The 23,648-nt window shown below is 43.8% G+C and overlaps 1 protein-coding gene and 2 pseudogenes across 4 annotated transcripts in view; 2 read left to right on the forward strand and 1 right to left on the reverse strand.

Moving 5' to 3' along the window:
• Window positions 1-17,912, forward strand: part of KANTR (KANTR integral membrane protein) — a 53,780-nt gene extending 35,868 nt beyond the window's left edge. For 3 of the 4 annotated variants that reach the window (NR_110456.3, NR_145974.2, NR_145975.2), the window contains one exon: window positions 11,839-17,912. The gene's annotated coding sequence lies outside the window, so the exon portion shown is untranslated. Of the gene's footprint in view, window positions 1-1,009; window positions 1,119-11,838 lie in introns of all 4 variants that reach the window. The other variant, NR_145973.2, reaches the window with a different exon arrangement.
• Window positions 473-531, forward strand: RNU7-37P (RNA, U7 small nuclear 37 pseudogene; annotated as a pseudogene).
• ACTG1P10 (actin gamma 1 pseudogene 10) lies at window positions 11,679-13,975 on the reverse strand (annotated as a pseudogene).
• Window positions 17,913-23,648: the final 5,736 nt, after the last annotated feature.

Raw genomic sequence — 23,648 nt, forward strand, 5'->3', positions numbered from 1 at the left:
GTGCCCACCGTCACACACGGATAATTTTTGTATTTTTAGTAGAGACAGGATTTCACCATGTCGGTCAGGCTGGTCTCAAGCTCCGGGCCTGAAGTGATCCATACACCTTGGCCTCCCAAAGTGCTGGGATTACAGGCGTGAGCCACCGCGCCTGACCCTACATAATTTTTGTTTCCAAACATATATATTTCGTTGTCAGCAGTAGTGAGAAACTCACTGACACCAGATTTGGCCAAAGGCACCACAGATAACACAGGCATGACATATTCTGAAGCCTTAGAAAGAATTTGTATGAATAGTGGGCCAGGGGGGCCCTCTACTGTGTGCAAACATGGGTCAGTGCCACAGTTCTGTCACTTGCGAGTATGGTAGTGCAGTGGACTTGAGACAGACTGCCTGGATTCAAATCCCAGAGCTGGTCAAGTCACTTGACCTCAATTTTCTGTAGTTTCTTCGTAAAAATGGGGATAGTAGTGTTACAGCTGTTTTAGAATTTGTCTAGCAGGCATTCTGGTTTTTGCTGAAAGCCCCCTTAAAAATAAATAAAACAAAACTGGGGATAGTAGTAATATGCACTTCATAGGATTATTGAGGGTATTAAATGAGTTAATCTACATAAAGTATTTAGAATAATACATGGCATGTAGTAAGCACTGTATATGTGTTTGCTGTTACTACCATTATTACTTTTGCGACGAGGGGATTGAAGGAAGAAGAGCTTCTATGCTGCAATGGGGAAAGGAGTATATCCTGCCCTGTGTGTTCCCCTAATATCTTGGATATAAAAGCCATCCACAAAAAACACAGGGTCAGGAATTTGAAGGTGTTATTTGGGCATCTTAGAGTGTGGGATATCAAGTAGGCAGTCAGAATGGGATAGAATTCTTCAGTGGGAAGTATTGGATATTTCCTTTTTGGAGCAGAGCAGTACCATATGGGGGAACAGTGACAGAGGGATAATCTAGGGTCAGGGGATTTCTTAAGCAGTTAATAATGCTTTTTCTCTTAGGAACTAACCTGTCAGGTACTGAGAGGCTTTGAAGATGGCTCTTCAGGTTGGGGACACACCTTTATTAAGGGGCAAGACTGCTGCCAGGAGTTGATTCACATACTCAGAGGTAGGATTGACCACACAAAAAAAATGCTTTCAAGTCTTTGTTCTAAATTTTCTTTGACCCTCCGTAAGTTTGGGGAAAGTCCCAGCCTCAGTAACCACCTCAGTAACCATCCCAGACACAGTCTAGAGGATATGAACAGGCAGAGTGGGTCATGTGGAAAACAGGCGCGTGGTGGGGAGGCCAATTTGAGGAGCCATTAGTATTAAAATGGAAAGTTCAAGAGATACAAAAATTATAAACAAAACTTTATCAAATCAAATCCAATAATGTATTAAAAGGATAATGAATCATAACAAAATGGATTTTATCCCAGGAATGCAGGATTGGCTTGGCATTAGAAAATCAATCATGCAGTTCAACATATTAACAAACCAAAAAGGAAAACCCATATGATTATTGCAATAAATGCAGAAAAAGCATTTGACAACATCTAACATCCATTCCTGAGTTTAAAAAACAAAAACCTCTTGGCAAACTAGAAGTAGAAGGGAACTTCTTCAACCTGATATAGGGCATCTGCAAAATAACCCACAGCTAACATTATATTTAGTGGTGAAAACTGAGTGCTTTCCCCCACAAGATCAGAAATCAAACAGAGATGTCCACTCTCACCACTTCTATTCAGCATTATACTGAAGGTTCTAGGCAGTGCAGTCAGGCAAGAAAAAGAAGCAAAAGGCATCCAAATTGGAAAGGAAGAAGTAAAACTGTATTTACAGAAAATGTGATCATCTATATAGAAAATCCAACTGAGTCCACCAAAAATAAAACCCTACTAGAACTAATAAGTGAGTCTAACAAGTTGCAGGTTATAAGATCAATATACAAAAATTAGTTGTATATCTATATACTAGCAATGAACAATTGGATACAGAAAGTTTTAAAATACCATTTACAATAACATCTAAAAATATGACTTAGGAATAAATCTGACAAAAGATGTGGAAGACCTATACACTTGTATTGCTGAGAGAAAGAGGAGCCAAATCAATGAAAAACATTCATAGGTTGGAAAACTTAGTATTGTTATGATGTCAATTCTCCCCAAATTGATCCATAGATTAAATGTAATTCCTATAAAAATCTCAGCAGGCTTTTTGCCGAAATTTACAAACTGATCCTAAAATTCATATGGAAAGGCACTACAGAGCCTGGTACAGTGTGTAGAAACCCTGGGTAGGGTTCAGCTTTCCCACAGGATTAGGACTATCAGTGGAGCACATGTAGAGAGGAAAAACAGTGACAGGGCCTCCAGTTGCAAACAGGTCTACAAAGAATATGAACAAGCAATTTCCTGAAGTGGAAAACCCAAAAAGCTAACAGGCCTAATAAAAGATGTTCAGATGTATTAACAGAAAAGTCTAAAATAAAACTACAGTGAGATTTTACTTTAGGTTTCACAAACAGACAAAATTTTAAAAAGCTGGATCATGCCAAGTCCTTTAGTGGGGATATGGGGGCATAGGGACCCTCTTGCATTGGGATTGGGGACTTTGGCCGCCATCCCAGAGATGAATGTGGCACTATCCCCATGGGCCCTCCAAAGAAATTCTCATACAGGTCCATAAAGGGTCATGTAGAAGAATGTGCATTATGGTGTAGTTTGCAACAGTGGGAAGTTGAAGGCATGCTGGGTGTCCATCACCAGGGGCATACACAGGGAAATAGTGATGGGTGCACTCCACAGAGGACCTCTTAACCTTTAGACCAGTGAGTTAGATGTACACAGGGCAACACGATGATCTTCAACACGTAGCACTGAGTGAAAAAGAATGAACTGTATAACAATACTACTCACAAGTTACAAATATATGCACATATACACCAAATACACACCTTACAGAAATGCACACAAAAGGATGTAAGTTAAACACATTTGAAAAATGCCTGTGTCGGGGAGTCGGGAGGAATGGGAGCATGGATGACAGGGAATACATAAAACAAGAAAGCGGTGGAATTGCCAGTCACGGTGGCTCACACCTGTAATCCCAGCACTTCGAAAGGCCGAGGCGGGAAGATTGCTTGAGCCTAGGAGTTCAGTTCCAGCCCGAGCAACATAGTGAGTCCTCATCTCTACAAGAAATACAAAATTAGCCAAATGTGGTGGTGTGTGCCTGTGGTCCCAGCTACCAGAGAGGCTGAGGTGGGAGGATTGCTTGAGCCCAGGAGTCTGAGACTGCAGTGAACCGAGATTGTACCGCTGCACTCCAGCCTGGGTGACAGAGTGAGACCTTGTCAAAAAAAAAAAAGAAAGAAAGGGGGAGGAGAAAAAACAAGCAGAAAGTGTCTGTTCCCTTGGCCTAGTCACCCACTCCCCATGGCATCATCCTTTAGAGTCTGCTCTTCACTGAGGAGGAAACAGCCACACCTACACTCTGCTAACCTGAGGCCAGAATGCCCAGGTGAGCCTGGCGCAGACGGTCTGTACTTGGCTGGTTTTGAGTATGTGCTGGTGCGGCTCCTGCACACCCTCTCACCAGCACTGCAGCTGCCTGGAGCAGGTGTGGACATGCATTTCACCACACAGAAGTTGCCTGCTGTGATCTACTATTGAGGGTGGGGGCTGGTCACAGAGTTTGGAAGTGAAGAGTTAGAGCGGCCCATTCCCTGTCAAACCATATGGTAACCAGACCATATGGTAACTAATTTCTGGTCCACATAACAGCCCTGCCAGTGCCCTGACTATGCTGAGACATGGGTGTATTTTCCTGGCCTCATTTATAACCGTACCCTCTGACTTCCCCAGAAGCAGCTCTTGTAAACTCTTAGGGAAACTGAAGCCAGACTCACTATGACTGAGAGATTCTCTCCAGCTTATCCTCTCCTGGAACTCTTCACCTAATTGTAGCAATACTGCTCCTTCCATAACCAGCTTAGCTTCCATAACCAGCAAAACAAAACAATACCTTGTTCAGTGATACATACATGGGAGGTGAAATTTTCTCAAAAGCAGGCCAGGCACAGTGACTCACGCCTATAATCCCAGCACTTTGGGAGGCCGAGGTGAGTGGATCACCTGAGGTCAGGAGTTCGAGACCAGCCTGGCCAACATGGAGAAATCCCGTATCTACTAAAAATACAAAAATTAGCCGGACGTGGTGGCATGTGCCTGTAATGTCAGCTGCTCGGGAGACTGAGGCAGGAGAATCACTTGAACCCAGGAGGTGGGGGTTGCAATGAGCTGAGATCGTGCCACTGCACTCCAGCCTGGGCAACAAAAGTGAAACTCTGTCTCAAAAAAAAAAAAAATTTTTCCGCAAAAATCGAGGAAATGAGAACATAAAGGTCAAGGTAGTGGTTTCTTCTGGGCAGGGGAAGGAGATGAGGGATCCACAGTTGGCTTCTCAAACTCTATAATGTTCTAGTTCTTAAGCCAGCTGGTGGGTAGATGGGTGTCTTCTTACATGTCTTTCAACTGTACATGGAAGTTTTCAAAACTTTTCTCTATGTTGAATACATTTAAAAGTTTGAAAGGAACACAAAGAGATTTCAAACCCGATAACATTTGCATTTATCAGAACACATAGAATAAAAGAGAATGACAATAATCACATTGGAATATCTGCCTATGAGGGGGTGGGTGTTGGAAACGGGAGTGAGGAATGAAGGTAAAGTGGAGTCAATAAATGAATAAGTAAATAAAAAGGTAAGCATTTTACTGATCAAAGATAATAATGTAACATGACCAGTGGAGTATAGCTTCCTCCACCTGCACCTGAGATTCAAAGGAAAAATAAATACTGAGCGTGATCAAGAAACTGGTCCCTAATAAATCTGATTGATCCAAACCAACAGGTACAAACTTAAATCACCTGAGTACTCAAAAGATTATTATAATCAAGTAAATCATTGCAACAGAGAGTTTTCTGAGGTGAAGGATTTTGAAAGCTCCTTCAAAAGTTGGTCATTTCTCCAAAGTTTTGTCGGGATTGCTTCCCAGCATTCCTAAAGGATTCAGATGCATCCCTCGGTTCATTAGCCCATTTCACAGTAAAACTCAAAAGCTAGTGGAGAAAGCAGGGGGCTGAACTCATGTCCCTACAAGAGCAAAAGACCAAACCTTCATACCTTGGAAGTACAGTCCCATGTTGAACCATGTCTTGGAAATTGCCTCTGTAGCTTCAACACAAACAAAAACCTGGCTGTTGGAAAAATGTGTGCTTGATTTAACCTCAGCCATCCTTAGACTAGAAAAGAATCGTGGGGGTTATATTGAGTCTGCTTGGATCACCCCTAGCCACACTCTCCCTCCTTTTGTCCCCCAGTCCTAGTGTCCCTATCTCCACTGATGGACAAATGGACATTTCCCCTCAACACTGAGGTCACGAATTCTGCCTTGTCTCTGCACTCAGGTTGCCTTGCCAGATCTGCTGTGGGCTGCAGTTTTAGTTGAGATCATGTTAGTTAGCTCTTATTGTATGAAATGGCTTTCTGTTACCATAGGATGCTTCATTGAGGTATGTGCCTTCCTGCCTAACCTTGTACGTCTACTGACATATCAGGTAGACATGTTCCTTGCAAACTAAACATAGTAATGCGCTGCAGGCCAGTTGGAGTATAACCAGACCTCCCCATGCCATTTGTATCACCTGGGTCTGACCCACAATAACTGTCTTTATGAGTTGAGCCCTTGCAGAAGTCCCAGCCAACTTGTGGACAGCTGACTTTAACAAGGGAGGGCAGCTGCTTAGGATGCTCCCATTAAAATCAAAATCACACAGCACCTGTTGCCATCTTCTAGCCCTAGTGTCCACTTTCCATACTGGCAGAAGAGGGAAATGAGCCTATCATCAATGTCCTCCTCAAACTGGGTGTCTTAATGCCAACCACAGTCTATACAACAGCCCTATCCTCCTGGTAAGAAAGTCAGCAAAATTTATGTCTGAGAGCAGATGGGTCTGTCATCATGATCAGGACCCACACCACATTAGCGAACATATGTCACCCCTGTTCATCCCAGACTTCTGAATCCACCATCATCCTCTCTGTGAATCCAGTTCAGGCTTCTTTGGGGTTGACCTAACCAACACTATTTCTCTGTCTCAGGACATCCCAATTCCCTAAAACTCTGTTTTCACCCACCATCAGCAACAGAGAGTTTGTTTCTTTTTGTTTGTTTGTTTGTTTGAGACGGAGTCTTTGCTCTTGTCGCCCAGGCTGGAGTGCAATGATGCGATCTCAGCTCACTGCAACCTCCACCTCCTGGGTTCAAGCGGTTCTCCTGCCTCAGCCTCCCGAGTAGCTAGGACTACAGGTGTAAACTACCACGCCTGGCTGATTTTGTATTTTTACTAGAGATGGGGTTTCACCATGTTGGCCAGGCTGGTCTTGAACTCCTCACCTCAGGTGACCTGCCTGCCTCGGCCTCCCAAAGTGCTGGGATTACAGGCGTGAACCACCGTTCCCGGCTTTTTTTTTTTTTTTTCATTTTTAGGCAGGGTCTCACTCTGTCACTCAGGCTGGAGTGCAGTGGCGTGATCATGGCTCACTGCAGCCTCAGACTCCTGGGCTTGAGGCTCAGCCTCCCGAGTAGCTGGGATTACAGGCAAGATCTACCACGCCCGGCATATATATATATATATATATATATATATATATATATATTTTGTTTGTTTGTTTGTTTGTTTGTCTTTGAGATGGAGTTTTGCTCTTGTTGCCCAGGCTGGAGTGCAATGGCACAATCTCGGCTTACCGCAACCTCCCTCTCCTAGGTTCAAACAATTCTCCTGGCTCAGCCTCCCGAGTAGCTAGGATTACAGGCATGTGCCACCACACCCGGCTAATTTTGTATTTTTAGTAGAGACATCTCACTATGTTGCCCAGGCTGGTCTCAAACTCCTGGGCTCCAGCAATCCTCCTGCTTCAGCCTTCCAAATTGTTGGGATTATAAACATGAGCCACTGCACCTGGCCACATTAGTATACTGTTGATGTTGAACCATAACATTCTAAGTGGCCCTAGGATTTTCTTTTCTTGGGTTCTCCCATCCAGTTTTATAATTTAGGTTATACTAACCTCAAAAAGTGGAATAAATAGGTTTTACTTTTGTTATTGTGCATATGATTGGAATTAACTATACCTTGAAGGTTTGCTGCAGCTCACCTACAAAACCCACTGGGGTTTTGAGAGAGAACAGTTCTTTGACTACCATTTTTACTTCTTTAATACTTACTGGACTATTCAAGGCCTTTCTATTTGTGCCATTTTTAGCATGGTGTATTTTTCTAAGAATGTATCATTTATTTTCATCTAGGTTTTTTAATTCATTGGCATGTCATTCATAATTCTTCACTGTTAAAAAATCTATTTTTCTGGTCAGGCTCAGTGGCTCACGCCTGTAATCCCAGCACTTTGGGAGGCTGATCAGTGGCTCACGCCTGTAATCCCGGCACTTTGGGAGGCTGAGGCGAGCAGATCACCCGAGGCTGGGAGTTCGAGACCAGCCTAACCAACATGGAGAAAGCCCGTCTCTACTAAAAAAAAAATACAAAATTAGCCAGACATGGTGGCACATGCCTGTAATCCCAGCTACTCGGGAGGCTGAGGCAGGAGAATCACTTGAACCCTGGAGGCGGAGGTTGCGGTGAGCTGAGATCGTGCCATTGCACTCCAGCCTGGGCAACAAGAGCGAAACTCCATCTCAAAAAAAAAAAAAAAATCTGTTTTTCCCTAGTTATTGCCCCCCTTATCATTCTATATCTTGTTTTTTGTTTTGTTTTTTTGTTTTTTTGTTTTGACAGAGTTTCGCCACCGTGCCTGGCCTATATCTTGGTTTTTTAATTTTCTTTTTGTTTTTTTCTTGATCACTGGTCAGAAGTCTGTCTCTTTTATTGGTCTTTTCAAAGAATCTGCTTTGGTTTGCTTAATTTTCACTGTTATCTTTTGTTCTCTATTTTATTTATTTCTGCCTTATTTCTTTCTTGTTTCTTTGAATTTATTTTTATTTATTTATTTTTTTGAGATGGAGTTTCACTCTTGTTGCCCAGGCTTTAGTTCAACAGCGTGATCTCGGCTAACCACAACCTCCGCCTCCCAGGTTCAAGTGATTCTCCTGCCTCAGCCTCCCGAGTAGCTGGGATTACAGGCATGCGCCACGACGCACAGCTAATTTTGTATTTTTAGTAGAGACAAGGTTTCTCCACGTTGGTCAGGCTGGTCTTGAAATCCCGACCTCAGGTGATCCGCCCGCCTCAGCCTCCCAACAGGCGCGAGTCACCACGCCCGGCCTTTGTTTCTTTGAATTTAGAAATATAGGCTGGGCGCTGTGGTTCACGCCTGTAATCCCAGCACTTTGGGAGGCTGAGGCGGGTGGATCACCTGAGGTCGAGAGTTCAAGACCAGCCTGACCAACATGGAGAAACCCCATCTCTACTAAAAATACAGAATTAGCTGGGCGTGGTGGCACATGCCTGTATTAAAAGTACAAAATTAGCTGGGTGTGGTGGCGCATGCCTGTAATCCCAGCTCCTCGGGAGGCTGAGGCAGGAGAATCGCTTGAACCCAGGAGGTGGAGGTTGCGGTGAGCTAAGATTGCGCCATTGCACTCCAGCTTGGGCAACAAGAGCGAAATTCTGTCTTAAAAAAAAAAAAAAGAAATATAAACAATGTGTCATTGGCACAGAAACAGACAAGTAGACCAATACAACAGCATAGATACAGACACCTGTATATAAAAACCTATTGTATAACAAATCAAGGGAGAAAGGACAGTTGCTTAGTTAAAGGTGTTGAGAAAACTGGCTCATGACAGAGAACAATAAAACTGGATCCCTTCCTCATGACATGTACAAAAATGGATTCTAGGGGCCAGGCACAGTGTCTCAACGCCTGTAATCTCAGCGCTTTGGGAGGTTGTGGTGGGCGGATCACTTGAGGTCAGGAGTTCAAGACTGGCCTGGTCAACCAGACATGGTGAAACACCATGTCTACTAAAAATACAAAAAATTAGCCGGGTGTGGTGGTGTGTGCCTGTAGTCCCAGCTACTCAGGAGGCTGAGGCAGAAGAATCGCTTGAACTCGGAAGGCAGAGGTTGCAGTGAGCCAAGATGGTGCCACTGCTCTCCAGCCTGGGTGACAGAGCGAGACTCCGTCTCAAAAAAAAAAAAAAAAAAAAAAGGAATTCTAGGTAGATTGAGGACCTAAATGTGAAAATAAAACTGTAATGTTAATAGAAATTGTAGGGAGATGTCTGTGACCTAGGGGCTTGGACAAAACTTCAAGACTATAATCCATATGCTGAAGAGATGATTGGATTATAGCAAAATTAAGGATTTGTGCTCAATGAAAGACACTATGGACAAAAGTAAGAGATAATGTGCAGATTGGGAGAGGATATTTGCAATGCATAAACCAACAAGGGATTTGATACCTAGAATATAAAAAGATTTCCTGTGAATCATCAAGAAGAGAGGTTGGGTGTAGTGATTTATACCTGTAATCCCAGTACTTTGGGAGGCTGAAGCAGGAGGATTGCTTGAGGCCAGGAGTTTGAGACCAGCCAGACAATACAACATGACCCTGTCTCTAGAAAAAATAATTTTTTTTTAAATTACCTGGTTGTGGTGGCACATGCCAGTCATCCTAGCTACTTTGGGAGGCTAAGGTGGGAGGATCACATGAGCCCAGTAGTTTGAGGTTACAGTGAGCTGTGGTCATGCCACTGCACTGCAGCCTGGGTGACAAGCAAGACCCTGTTTTTAAAAACAAAACAAAAGAAGGAGGAGGAGGCAGGAGGAAGGGGGAGGAGGAAGGGGAAGGACAAAAGAAGAAGGAAGAAAGAAAAAGAAGACAGCAACGCCAATAGAAAATTAGCCAAAGCATACAATAGTCAATTTGCAGAGGAAGAAATTTGAAAAGCCAGCAGTATATGATGAGGTGTTCAAGATCATTGCAAGTATGAGGAATTAAAATAACAGTGAGATACCAGTTTATCAGCCCGACAAATTTAAGAAGCAGGATAATGCCAAGTGGCGGTGGGGGTGTAAGGACCTACAAACCCTCCTGCATGGCTGATGGGAGTGTGGACTAGGGCAGCTGTTCCGAAGAGCTGTCTGGAAGTACCTTGTCAAATTAGATATGCATTTACTGGGCCAGGTGCGGTGGCTCACGCCTGCAATCCCAGCACTTTGGAAGGCCGAGGCAAGTGGAGCACCTGAGGTCACTCAGGAGTTCCAGACCAGCCTGGCCATCATGGCGAAACCCCGTCCCTACCAAAAATGCAAAACTTAGCTGGATGTGGTGGTGGACTTCTGTAATCCCAGCTACTCAGGAGGCTGAGGCAGGAGAATCGCTTGAACCCAGGAGGCAGAGGTTGCAGTGAGCCAAGATCACACTACTGCCCTCCAGCCTGGGTAACGGAGTGAGACTCTGTCTCAAAAAAAAAAAAAAAAAAAAAGTATATGCATTTACTGTATGACCCAACAATTCTGTTCCTGGGTACAATAAATCCCAGGGAAGTACACAGATATATAAGGGGCCATATGCAAGGGTGTTCATCACACATTAAGCACAAAAAGGCCAAAAACAAAATGTATGTCCCTCCAAATTAGAAGTTTCCAAGGGCAAAAAAAGTGCAAGCCTTCTCTCATTAAAGTAGAGATTCCTAGTCTGTGTGCCCAGGTACCTGACAGTGCTGCATTTCAGTTCCAGGGGTGAGAGTTATCAATAGTTATAATTTTTAAAATAATGATAAATGTTTTTAAAGTATCTCTAACATTTGTAACTGTGTTTTTCTAGTTTAAAATTATTTTGAAGGCCAGGCGTGGTGGCTCACGCCTGTAATCCCAGTGCTTTGGGAGGCTGAGGCAGGTGGATCACTTGAGGTTAGGAGTTCGAGACCAGCCTGACCAACATGATGAAGCCCCGTCTCTACTAAAAATACGAAATTAGCCAGATGTGGTAGTGCATGCCTATAATCCTAGCTACTCAGGAAGCTGAGGCAGGAGAATCACTCGAACCCAGGAGCCAGAGGTTGCAGTGAGCCGAGATCGTGCCATTGCACTCTAGCCTGGGCAACAAAAGCGAAACTCCATCTCAAAATAAGTAAAATAAAATTATTTTGAAATTATATTTGAACAGTGTGGTGTTTCACACAGTTCCCTCTTTGAACGTCTTGGTCCAGTGCAAGATCTAGTGCATGGCTCCTACTACCAGAGAGGGGCTGTGTGGGGGCTGCAGTATACAGCACTTCTCTGACCTTCTGTGGGAATCATTCGACTTAACCTGATTTTTGCCTTCCTCCTGCTCATCATGATACTTTGTTGGTGTGCATATGTGTAGTATTTAAATACTTTATTAGATTCAATCTGCTCTTTTCACAATTTTTTCTGGTAACATGGAAGCTATATCTTTTATTATCAGAATCAGCATCTATTATTAGGTGCTGCTTTAAAGGAACATAACTGATTTCATTTTCTTAGTTGTTATTCCCCCATTGTTTTACCTTCCCTCCCTCCCTTCCTCTTTCCTTTTTTCTTTCTCTCTGTCCCTCATTCTTTCTTGCTCTCACTCTCCCTCTCCAGTTGCTCCTTCTCCCACTCTCTATTATTGGATTTTTTTTTAACGGCAGCACTTTTATTTTTCCTTACACAATGACGTGTTGCTGGGGCCTAATGTTCTCACATGACGGTAGAAAACCAAAATTTGTTGTCATCTCTTTAAAGAATTTAGAATTATGTAGAAAAAAACCTTACATAAATTAAAAGGATGAATATATTTACAGGTGTAAATCCAAACCGCTTCCAACTCAAGGCAAGTAACAGCCCACGGTGTTCTGGCAGGAAAACATCAGCTAAGAAAGGAAACTGGGTCCTATGGCTTGGACTTTCCAACTCTGACAGACCGGCAGGACAGAAACAACTGGTTCAGGAGCCCTTGCCAGCCTCTAGAGAAATCCCAGAACACTCAGCCCTGATGACACATTAATACCCTGCACATATTGGAGACTGCTGACCACGCATACTCACCAAGCCACAGACTTGTCTTCCACAAGCACGTTCTTACCTCAGCCACAAAGTGCCCAAGCCACATGTACTAAAGGTTGAAATCAGAGACATGTACAGGGTATTAAACAGATACCAAGGGGAACAGTTAACTTGAATATAGCTTGAATAGAAAGTCAAAATCAGCAACAAGTCTACAATCCAGTGCTGATATCAGATACAAGCTTCAAGGACAACTTTCTGTGTATGTTTTTTTTTTTTTTTTTGAGACGTAGTCTCGCCCTGTTGCCCAGGCTGGAGTGCAGTGGTGCAATCTCGGCTCACCACAACCTCTGCCTCCCAGGTTCAAGTGATTCTCCTGCCTCAGCCTCCCCAGTAGCTGGGATTATAGGCGAATGCCACCATGCCTGGCTAATTTTTGTATTTTTAGTAGAGACGGGGTTTCAGCATGTTGGCCAGGCCGGTCTCAAACTCCTGACCTTGTGATCCACCCGTCTCGGCCTCCCAAAGTGCTGGGATTATAGGCGTGAGCCACCACTTCTGGCCACAAATTTCTTTTTGAAGGCTTATTCCAGTTTTGTGAGGCTAGCATGAGGTGTATGCATTTGCCAGGGGCAAATTTATACTGCTGAATTAACCCATGCAACAAATGCTGCACATCTGCTCGCAGTCCATTTAGAGGCATTTGCGGTAGACAATGGAGGGGCCAGACTCATCATACATACCTGATGGCTAACCCACATGCTTGCAGTCCATTTAGAGGCATTTGCAGTGGATGATGGAGGGGCCACATACCTAATTGCTAATCCACATCTGCTGGAAGGTGGACAGTGAGGCCAGGATGGAACCACCAATCCACACCGAGTACTTGTGCTCTGGGGGCATGATGAACTTGATCTTCATGGTGCTGGATGCCAGCGTGGTGATGCCAGGGCACATGGTGGTGCTGCTGGACAGCACTGTGTTGGCGTACAGGTCTTTGCGGATGTCCACGTCACACTTCATGATGGAGTTGAAGGTGGTCTTGTGGATGCCGCAGGATTCCATGCCCAAGAAGGAAGGCTGGAACAGCACCTGCAGACACCAGAACCACTTGTTGCCGATGGTGATGACCTGACCTGGCCATCAGGCAGCTCATAGCTCTTCTCCAGGGAGGAGGAGGATGTGGCAGTGGCCATCTCCTGCTCGAAGTCCAGGGCGATGTAGCACACCTTCTCGTTGATGTCGCGCACAATCTCCTGCTTGGCCGTGATGGTGAAGCTTGGTGAGGATCTTCATGAGGTAGTTGGTCAGGTCCTGGCCAGCCAGGTCCAGACGCAGGATGGCGTGGTGGGAGGGCATGGCCCTCGTAGATGGGTACCATGTAGGTGGCCCTGTCTCCAGAGTCCATGACAGTGCCAGTGATGCGCCCAGAGGCTTAGAGGGACAACACGGCCTGGATGGCCACATACATGGCTGGGGTGTTGAAGGTCTCAAACATGATCTGAGTCATCTTTTCTCTGTTGGCCTTGGGGTTCGAGGGGCCTCGGCCAACAGCACCGGGTGCTTCTCTGGGGTCATGCACAGCTCGTTGTAGAAGGTGTGGTGCCAGATCTTCTCCATGTCATCCCAGATGGTGATGATGCCATGCTCGATAGGGTACTTCAGGGTCAGGATGTCGTGCTTGCTCTGGGCCTCATGGCCCATGTAGGAGTCCTTCTGGCCCATGCCCACCATCACACCCTGGTGCCGGGGTCACCTGATGATGGAGGGGAACACAGCTCAGGGGCCATCCATCCCCAGCAAAGCCAGCTTTGCACATGCCAGAGCCATTGTCAATGATGAGCGCGGCGATCTCTATTTCCATTGCAACCTGTGGAAGAGCAGGGCGGTGGAGCCATGGGAAGACACGGTGTGGGGGCTGGTGGCAGCAAGTGACTGTATTACTGGATTTTGAAGTTAACAATTAGCCAAATACTGATTTTTGATGGAAATTTATTCTTAATTATTTTCTTTTAGAAAAAAATAGGAAAACATATAACAATAGAATTACTTAATTAAATTGATTCCTTGGCTGGGTGGCTACGCCTGTAATCCTAGCACTTTATGAGGCCGAGGAGGGTGGATTAGTTGAGGCCAGGAGTTCGAGACCAGCTTGGGAAACATGGCGAAACCCCATTTCTACTAAAAATTCAAAAATCAGCCAAGCATGGTGGTGCGTGCCTGTAGTCCCAGCTACCCAGGAGGCTGAGGCATGAGAATTGCCTGAGCTTAGGAGGCAGAGATTGCAGTGAGCCGAGATTGTGCCACTGCACTCCAGCCTGGCAGTAGAACCAGACCCTGTCTCAAAAACAAAAAATCTGTCTAGGCTGGGCATGGTGGCTCACGCTTGTAATCCCAGCACTTTGGGAGGCTGAGGCAAGTGGATCACCAGAGGTCAGGAGTTTGAGACCAACCTGGCCAACATGGTGAAACCCCGTCTCTCCTAAAAATACAAAAATTAGCCGGGCATGGTGGTACATGCCTATAATCCCAGCTACTTGGGAGGCTGAGGCAGGAGAGTGGCTTGAACCTGAGAGGCGGAGGTCGCAGTCAGCTTAGATTGCACCACTGTAAAGAAAAGAAAAAAAAAAGTCCATACATGAGTGTAGGGAATACTTTGTGAATTTTTAGACTTTTTATTAACCACCAGAGAATATTTACTACACCTGGGTGTTTTTTAAAGAATACTGTTCTTATTCTGAAATAAGTAGACCGTTTTGCATATGATCAGCCAGTGTCCCTTACACAATTTATTTCATGTAATTTTCATCTTTCCCATGTAAATCTCAGTTCAGCCACTTAGTGGATCCAAGTCTCCAGGCAGCTGCCTTAGTCGTTCTGTGTCTCAAGTACTTTTAATCCATATTGTACAGTAAGGTGAATTTATAGATTTCAAGATCTATAAATTCTATAGATCTATAGGTGAATTTGGGGTGGAGCCAAGATGGCCGAATAGGAACAGCTCCAGTCTGCAGCTCCCAGCATGAGCGATGCAGAAGACGGGTGATTTCTGAACTTCCAACTGAGGTACCAGGTTCATCTCACTGGGGAGTGTCTGACAGTGGGTGCAGGACAGTGGGTACAGTGCACTGAGCGTGAGCCAAAGCAGGGCGAGGCATTGCCTCACTCGGGAAGCACAAGGGGTCAGGGAATTCCCTTTCCTAGTCAAAGAAAGGGGTGACAGATGGCATCTGGAAAATCGGGTCACTCCCACCCTAATACTGCGCTTTTCCAACAGTCTTAGCAAATAGCTCACCAGGAGATTATATCCCGCCCCTGGCTCGGAGGGTCCTACGCCCACAGATTCTCGCTCATTGCTAGCACAGCAGTCTGAGCTCAAACTGCAAGGTGGCAGCGAGGCTGGGGGAGGGGCACCCGCCATTGCTGAGGCTTGAGTAGGTAAAGCGGCCCGGAAGCTCGAACTGGGTGGAGCCCACTGCAGCTCAAGGAGGCCTGCCTGTCTCTGTAGACTCCACCTCTGGGGGCAGGGCATTGCCAAACAAAAGGCAGCAGAATCCTCTGCAGACTTAAATGTCCCTGTCTGACAGCTTTGAAGAGAGTAGTGGTTCTCCCAGCACGCAGCTGGAGATCTGAGAATGGACAGACTGCCTCCTCAAGTGGGTCCCTGACCCCCGAGTAGCCTAACTGGGAGGCACCCCCCAGTAGGGGCAGACAGACACCTCACACGGCCGGGTACTTCTCTGAGACAAAACTTCCAGAGGAATGATCAGGCAGCAACATTTGCTGTTCACCAATATCTGCTGTTCTGCAGCCTCTGCTGCTGATACCCAGGCAAACAGGGTCTGGAGTGGACCTCCAGCAAACTCCAACATTCCTACAGCTGAGGGTCCTGATTGTTAGAAGGAAAACTAACAAACAGAAAGGACATCCACACCAAAACCCCATCTGTATGTCACCATCATCAAAGACCAAAGGTAGATAAAACCACAAAGATGGGGAAAAAACAGAGCAGAAAAAACGGAAATTCTAAAAATCAGAGTGCCTATCCTCCTCCAAAGGAACACAGCTCCTCACCAGCAATGGAACAAAGCTGGATGGAGAATGACGAGTTGAGAGAAGAAGGCTTCAGACAATCAAACTACTCCAAGCTAAAGGAGGAAGTTCGAACCAATGGCAAAGAAGTTAAAAACCTTGAAAAAAGATTAGACAAATCACTAACTAGAATAACCAATGCAGAGAAGTCCTTAAAGGACCTGATGGAGCTGAAAACCACAGCACAAGAACTATCTGATGAATGCACAAGCCTCAGTAGCCGATTCGATCAACTGGAAGAAAGGGTATCAGTGATGGAAGATCAAATGAATGAAATGAAGCGAGAAGAGAAGTTTAGAGAAAAAAGAATAAAAAGAAACAAAGCCTCCAAGAAATATGGGACTATGTGAAAAGACCAAATCTACGTCTGATTGGTGTACCTGAAAGTGACGGGGAGAATGGAACCAAGTTGGAAAACACTCTGCAGGATATTATCCAGGAGAACTTCCCCAATCTAGCAAGGCAGGCCAACATTCAAACACCACAAAGGTACTCCTCGAGAAGAGCAACTCCAAGACACATAATTGTCAGATTCACCAAAGTTGAAATGAAGGAAAAGATGTTAAGGGCAGCCAGAGAGAAAGGTCGGGTTACCCACAAAGGGAAGCCCATCAGACTAACAGCTGATCTCTTGGCAGAAACTCTACAAGCCAGAAGAGAGTGGGGGCCAACATTCAACATTCTTAAAAGAATTTTCAACCCAGAATTTCATATTCAGCCAAACTAAGCTTCAGAAGTGAAGGAGAAATAAAATCCTTTACAGACAAGCAAATGCTGAGAGATTTTGTCACCACCAAGCCTGCCCTAAAAGAGCTCCTGAAGGAAGCACTAAACATGGAAAGGAACAACTGGTACCAGCCACTGCAAAAACATGCCAAATTGTAAAGACCATTGAGGCTAGGAAGAACCTGCATCAACCAACGAGCAAAATAACCAGCTAACATCATAATGACAGGATCGAATTCACACATAACAATACTAACCTTAAATGTAACTGGGCTAAATGCTCCAATTAAAAGACACAGACTGGCAAATTGGATAAAGAGTCAAGACCCATCAGTGTGCTGTATTCAGGAAACCCATCTCACCTGCAGAGACACACATAGGCTCAAAATAAAGGGATGGAGGAAGACCTACGAAGCAAATGGAAAACAAAAAAAGGCAGGGGTTGCAATCCTAGTCTCATATAAAACAGACTTTAAACGAACAAAGATCAAAGGAGACAAAGAAGGCCATTACATAATGGTGAAGGGATCAGTTCAACAAGAAGAGCTAACTATCCTAAATATATATGCACCCAATACAAGAGCACCTAGATTCATAAAGCAAGTCCTTAGAGACCTACAAAGAGACTTAGACTCCCACACAATAATAATGGGAGACTTTAACACCCCACTGTCAACATTAGACAGATCAACGAGACAGAAGTTAACAAGGATATCCAGGAATTGAACTCAGCTCTGCACCAAGTGTACCTAATAGACATCTACAGAACTCTCCACCCCAAATCAACAGAATATACATTCTTTTCAGCACCACACCACACCTATTCCAAAATTGACCACATAGTTGGAAGTAAAGCACTCCTCAGCAAATGTAAAAGAACAGAAATTATAACAAACTGTCTCTCAGACCACAGTGCAATCAAACTAGAACTCAGGATTAAGAAACTCACTCAAAACCGCTCAACTACATGGAAACTGAACAACTGGCTCCTGAAAGACTACTGGGTACATAACGAAATGAAGGCAGAAATAAAGATGTTCTTTGAAACCAACGAGAACAAAGACATAACATACCAGAATCTCTGGGACACATTCAAAGCAGTGTGTAGAGGGAAATTTATAGCACTAAATGCCCACAAGAGAAAGCAGGAAAGTTCTAAAATTGACACCCTAACATCACAATGAAAAGAACTAGAGAAGCAAGAGCAAACACATTCAAAAGCTATCAGAAGGCAAGAAATAACTAAGATCAGAGCAGAACTGAAGGAAATAGAGACACAAAAAACCCTTCAAAAAATCAATGAATCCAGGAGCTGGTTTTTTGAAAAGATCAACAAAATTGATAGACCGCTAGCAAGACTAATAAAGAAGAAAAGAGAGAAGAATCAAATAGACGCAATAAAAAATGATAAAGGGGATATCACCACCGATCCCACAGAAATACAAACTACCATCAGAGAATACTATAAACACCTCTATGCAAATAAACTAGAAAATCGAGAAGAAATGGATGAATTCCTCGACACATACACTCTCCCAAGACTAAACCAGGAAGAAGTTGAATTTCTGAATAGACCAATAACAGGCTCTGAAATTGAGGCAATAATTAAATGCAGGATGACGCTTCAAAGAGAATAAAATACCTAGGAATCCAACTTACAAGGGATGTGAAGGACCTCTTCAAGGAGAACTACAAACCACTGCTCAACAAAATAAAAGAGGATGCAAACAAATGGAAGAACATTCCATGCTCATGGATAGGAAGAGTCAATATCGTGAAAATGCCATACTGCCCAAGGTAATTTATAGATTCAATGCCATCCCCATCAAGCTACCAATGACTTTCTTCACAGAATTGGAAAAAACTTCTTTAAAGTTCATATGGAACCAAAAAAGAGCCTGCATGGCCAAGTCAATCCTAAGCCAAAAGAACAAAGCTGGAGGCATCACGCTACCTGACTTCAAACTATACTACAAGGCTATAGTAACCAAAACAGCATGGTACTGGTACCAAAACAGAGATATAGACCAATGGAACAGAACAGAGCCCTCAGAAATAATGCCACGTATCTACAACCATCTGATCTTTGACAAACCTGAGAAAAACAAGCAATGAGGAAAGGATTCCCTATTGAATAAATGGTGCTGGGAAAACTGGCTAGCCATATGCAGAAAGCTGAAACTGGATCCCTTCCTTACACCTTATACAAAAATTAATTCAAGATGGATGAAAGACTTAAATGTTAGACCTAAAACCATAAAAACCCTAGAAGAAAACCTAGGCAATACCATTCAGGACATAGGCATGGGCAAGGACTTCATGTCTAAAACACCAAAAGCAATGGCAACAAAAGCCAAAATTGACAAATGGGATCTAATTAAACTAAAGAGCTTCTGCACAGCAAAAGAAACTACCATCAGAGTGAACAGGAAACCTACAGAATGGGAGACAATTTTCACAATCTACTCATCTGATAAAGGGCTAATATCCAGAATCTACAAGGAACTCCAACAAATTTACAAGAAAAAAACAACCCCATCAAAAAGTGGGCAAAGGATATGAACAGACACTTCTCAAAAGAAGACATTTATGCAGCCAAAAGACACATGAAAAAATGCTCATCATCACTGGCCATCAGAGAAATGCAAATCAAAACCACAATGAGATACCATCTCACACCAGTTAGAACGGCGATCATGAAAAAGTCAGGAAACAACAGGTGTTGGAGAGGATGTGGAGAAATAGGAACACTTTTACACTGTTGGTGGGACTGTAAACTAGTTCAACCATTGTGGAAGTCAGTGTGGCGATTCCTCAGGGATCTAGAAGTAGAAATACCATTTGACCCAGCAATCCCATTACTGGGTATATATATACCCAAAGGATTATATAAATCATGCTGCTATAAAGACACATGCACACATATGTTTATTGCAGCACTATTCACAATAGCAAAGACTTGGAACCAAGCCAAATGTCCAACAATGATAGACTGGATTAAGAAAATGTGGCACATATACACCATGGAATATTATGCAGCCATAAAAAATGATGAGTTCATGTCCTTTGTAGGGACATGGATGAAGCTGGAAACCATCATTCTCAGCAAACTATCACAAGGACAAAAAACCAAACACCGCATGTTCTCACTCATAGGTGGGAACTGAACAATGAGAACACATGGACACAGGAAGGGGAACATCACACACCGGGGCCTGTTGTGGGGTGGGGGGAGGTGGGAGGGATAGCATTAGGAGATATACCTAATGTTAAATGACGAGTTAATGGGTGCAGCACACCAGCATGGCACATGTATACATACGTAACTAACCTGCACATTGTGCACATGTACCCTAAAACTTAAAGTATAATTTTTAAAAAAGTGAAAAAAAAAAGATCTATAGGTGAATTTATAGATTTCAGGATTACACCTGGGTTTTTTTTTAATGTTTCAGTGCAATTTATTTTAAAGCACTCTTAATGCATTTAAATTTTATTTTTAAATGCATTAAAATTTAAATTTTTTAACATTTAAAACATTAATTTTTTAACAATTAAAATTAATTTTTCTGTTTGGTAGATACTGTGTCTATGTTGCCAGAGCTAGTCTTGAACTCCTGGCCTCAAGAGATCCTCCCGCCTCAGCCTCCCAAAGTGCTGGGATACAGGCACAAGCCACTATGCCTGGCCAAAATTAATTTTTGAGCCCAACACAGTGGCCCACACCTGTAGTCCCAGTTACTCAGGAGGCTGAGGCAAGAGGATTGCTTGAGCCCAGGAGTTTGAGTTTGTGGCATACGATGATTGTGCCTATGAATAGCCATTGTACTCAAGCCCGGGCAATATAACTAGACCCCATCTCTAAGTAATAATAATTTTTTAGAACCTAACATGTAAATAGATTTAATTTATACAAATATTTATTTTCAAATCTGTATTAGGTTTCTCCAGGGAAACAGAATCAATAGGATATATATGAGACAGAGAGCAAGAAAGACAAAGATTCATTGTAGGGAGTCGGCTCACATGATTGTGTAGGTTGACAAGTCTTAATATCTGCTAGTTGAGTTGTCAGGAGGAAGACCCAGGAGTACCAATGGTGTAGTTCCAGTTTAAAGGCTGGCAGACTCAAGACCCAGGAAGAGCTGATGTTTCCGTTTAAGTCTGAAGGGAAGAAAAAGCTGATGTTCTAGTTTGAAGGCAGTCAGGCAGGATAATTCACTCTTACTTCGGGGAGGGTAATCCTTTTTGTTCTATTCAGGCCTTCAACTGATTGGGTGAGGCCTACCCACATCAGGAAGGGCAATCTGCTTTACTCAGTCTACCAATTTCAATGTTCCTGCCACCCAGGAACACCCCCAAAGAAACCCCAGAATAATGTTTGACTAAATATCTGGGTACCCCAAGACCCAGTCAAGTTGACACAATTAACCATCACAAATCCATGCCTTGTGAACTTGGCACCCATATACACCTCCTTAAACCACATTTAATCTTCAAATGAAGACCATAACAAGGTCATAATTCCATCTAACATGATACAACTGTTCTACCTACAACCGAAAACGCACTAACCTTTTCCCCAGAAAAAGAGGTAAAGTCCTTCACTGATGTTAACTCTTTTCTTTGATATCCTGTAACTTAAATACTATGATGTAAAGTTAACAATTCTTAAATACTATTATTTAAAGCCAATACATCTTATGTTACATGATAAGGGGATAAGAGAGGGAAGAAAACAAAAGTATTTGATACATACAAACAAATATATTCATAACAAAATAAGCAGGAAATATGACAATTACAGCCCTTGTTTCTCTAACTGGTCACATGATAACTGATATTTATAACTACCTTCTTCCACTACCCATTCCATATTCTGTTTGCCTTCAGCAAGCAACTCAACTAGTCATAGTTCTTTACTGGTAGGGTAACCCAAAGCTTCATTGTTGTAGAATCTGGGCCATTAGTAGTCCTGCCTGGGTTGGGTTGTTGTCGTTTTCCATTGACCTTAATCATAAGGGATGGTAACACTAAGAGATTCTCTAGAGTATTTCCTGTATTCTAGAATACTCTTCCTTCCCTCCATTGTAGAGTAGTATTCCAGTTTCCTCTTGGTAGACAGGATCAATCACTCCAACCAACACCACAACTCCCTTCTTTGCCTTAACTTCTAGCTCAATGGAATCGTTGTGTCTCCTGGCGGAAGCATTCCTCCCTTTGGAACTGAAACCTCTAGGCTAGCAGACCAAAAGATCTCTGTAACAGGAGGAGAAATTTTGCTAGTGGGTCACTAGGGTTGATAGGGACCCATTGATTTCCACCCATTGATTCATGGATCTGTGAATCCTGGCTGTGGGAGAAACAGCACCATATATTAGATACAGATTCAGAGTATATACAGACTCCTGGAGAATCTTACCCTAGCCCTGCAAGGTATTGTAACCTAGTTGGCACTGTAACTGAATCTTCCAAAGGCCATTCCACCATTCTTTCAAGCCAGCTATTTCAGGGTGGTGGGGAACATGGTGAGAGCAGTGAATTCCATGAGCATGGGCCCATTGCTGCACTTCTTTGGCTGTAACGTTAGTTCCTTAACCAGAAGCAATGCTATATGGAATATTATGATGGTGGATAAGGAATTCTGTAAGACCATGGATGGTAGTTTAGGCGGAAGCTTTGTGTGCATGGAAGCCAGACCAGTATCTAGAGTGTCTGTTCCAGTAAGGACAAAACATTGCTTCTTCCCTGATGGAAGCAATCCAGAGTAATCAACCAGATAACTGATCTCCCCGGGAATGATGCCATATTGGAAACTCAGTGATAGTCTCTGCTGGTTGTAGATTAGACACTCGGCAGTGGTCATAGTCAGGTTGGCTTTTGTGAGTGGGGGTGCATGTTGCTGTTCCCATGCATAACCTCCATCCCTGGTACCATGGCCACTTTGTTCATGAACCCATTGGGCAATGAGAGGATAGCTGGGGAAAGAGGCTAACTGGTATCCACAGAAACTATTATTCTGTCCACTTGACTATTAAAATCCTCCTCTGCTGAGGTCACCTTTGGTGAGGATTCACACAGGACATAAATGTCTTCACTTTTTTTGACCCACATAAGGAAGTCTATCCATCTACCTTTTCCTCAAATTTCCTTGTCACTAGTTTTCTAACATGTTCCTCCCAAGTTCCTGACCATCTAACCAAACCATTCATCACACCCCACAAATCAGTATATGATTGCATATCTATCCATTTCTCCTCCCAAGCAAAGTGAACAACTAGGTGCACTGCTTGGGAGTTCTACCCACTGGGAGGATTTCCTTTCACTGTCCTTCAGGGATGTCCTAGGAAGAGGTGATAGTGCTGCAGCTGTCCACTTTGGGGTGGTGCCTACATACCATGCAGAACCATCTGTAAACCAGGCCCAAGTCTTCTCTTCCTCTGTCAGCTGACTGTAGGGAACTCCCCATGAGGCCACAGGTGCAGACTGGGAGAGAGAAGACTGTGTATCAGGAGTGGAGACCATGAGCATTTGGGCCACTTCTTCATGTAGCTTGTGCCTTCAGGGCCTGCTCAGGCCCCATCACATATTTACCACTTCCATTTGGTGATGGAGCACTGGTGTGCACACCCAACTTTATGGCTTGGTGGGTCAGATAACACCCAGATCATGATGGGCAGCTCAGGTCAAATGGTAACTTGGTGGCCTATGGTCAAGTGTTGTTTCTACTAAAACCCAGTAGCAGATCAAGAGCTGTTCTCAATAGGAGAGTGGTTATCTGCAGGAGATG

This window comes from Homo sapiens, chromosome X (genome assembly GCF_000001405.40).
Source record: "Homo sapiens chromosome X, GRCh38.p14 Primary Assembly".
Classification (NCBI taxonomy): domain Eukaryota; kingdom Metazoa; phylum Chordata; class Mammalia; order Primates; family Hominidae; genus Homo; species Homo sapiens.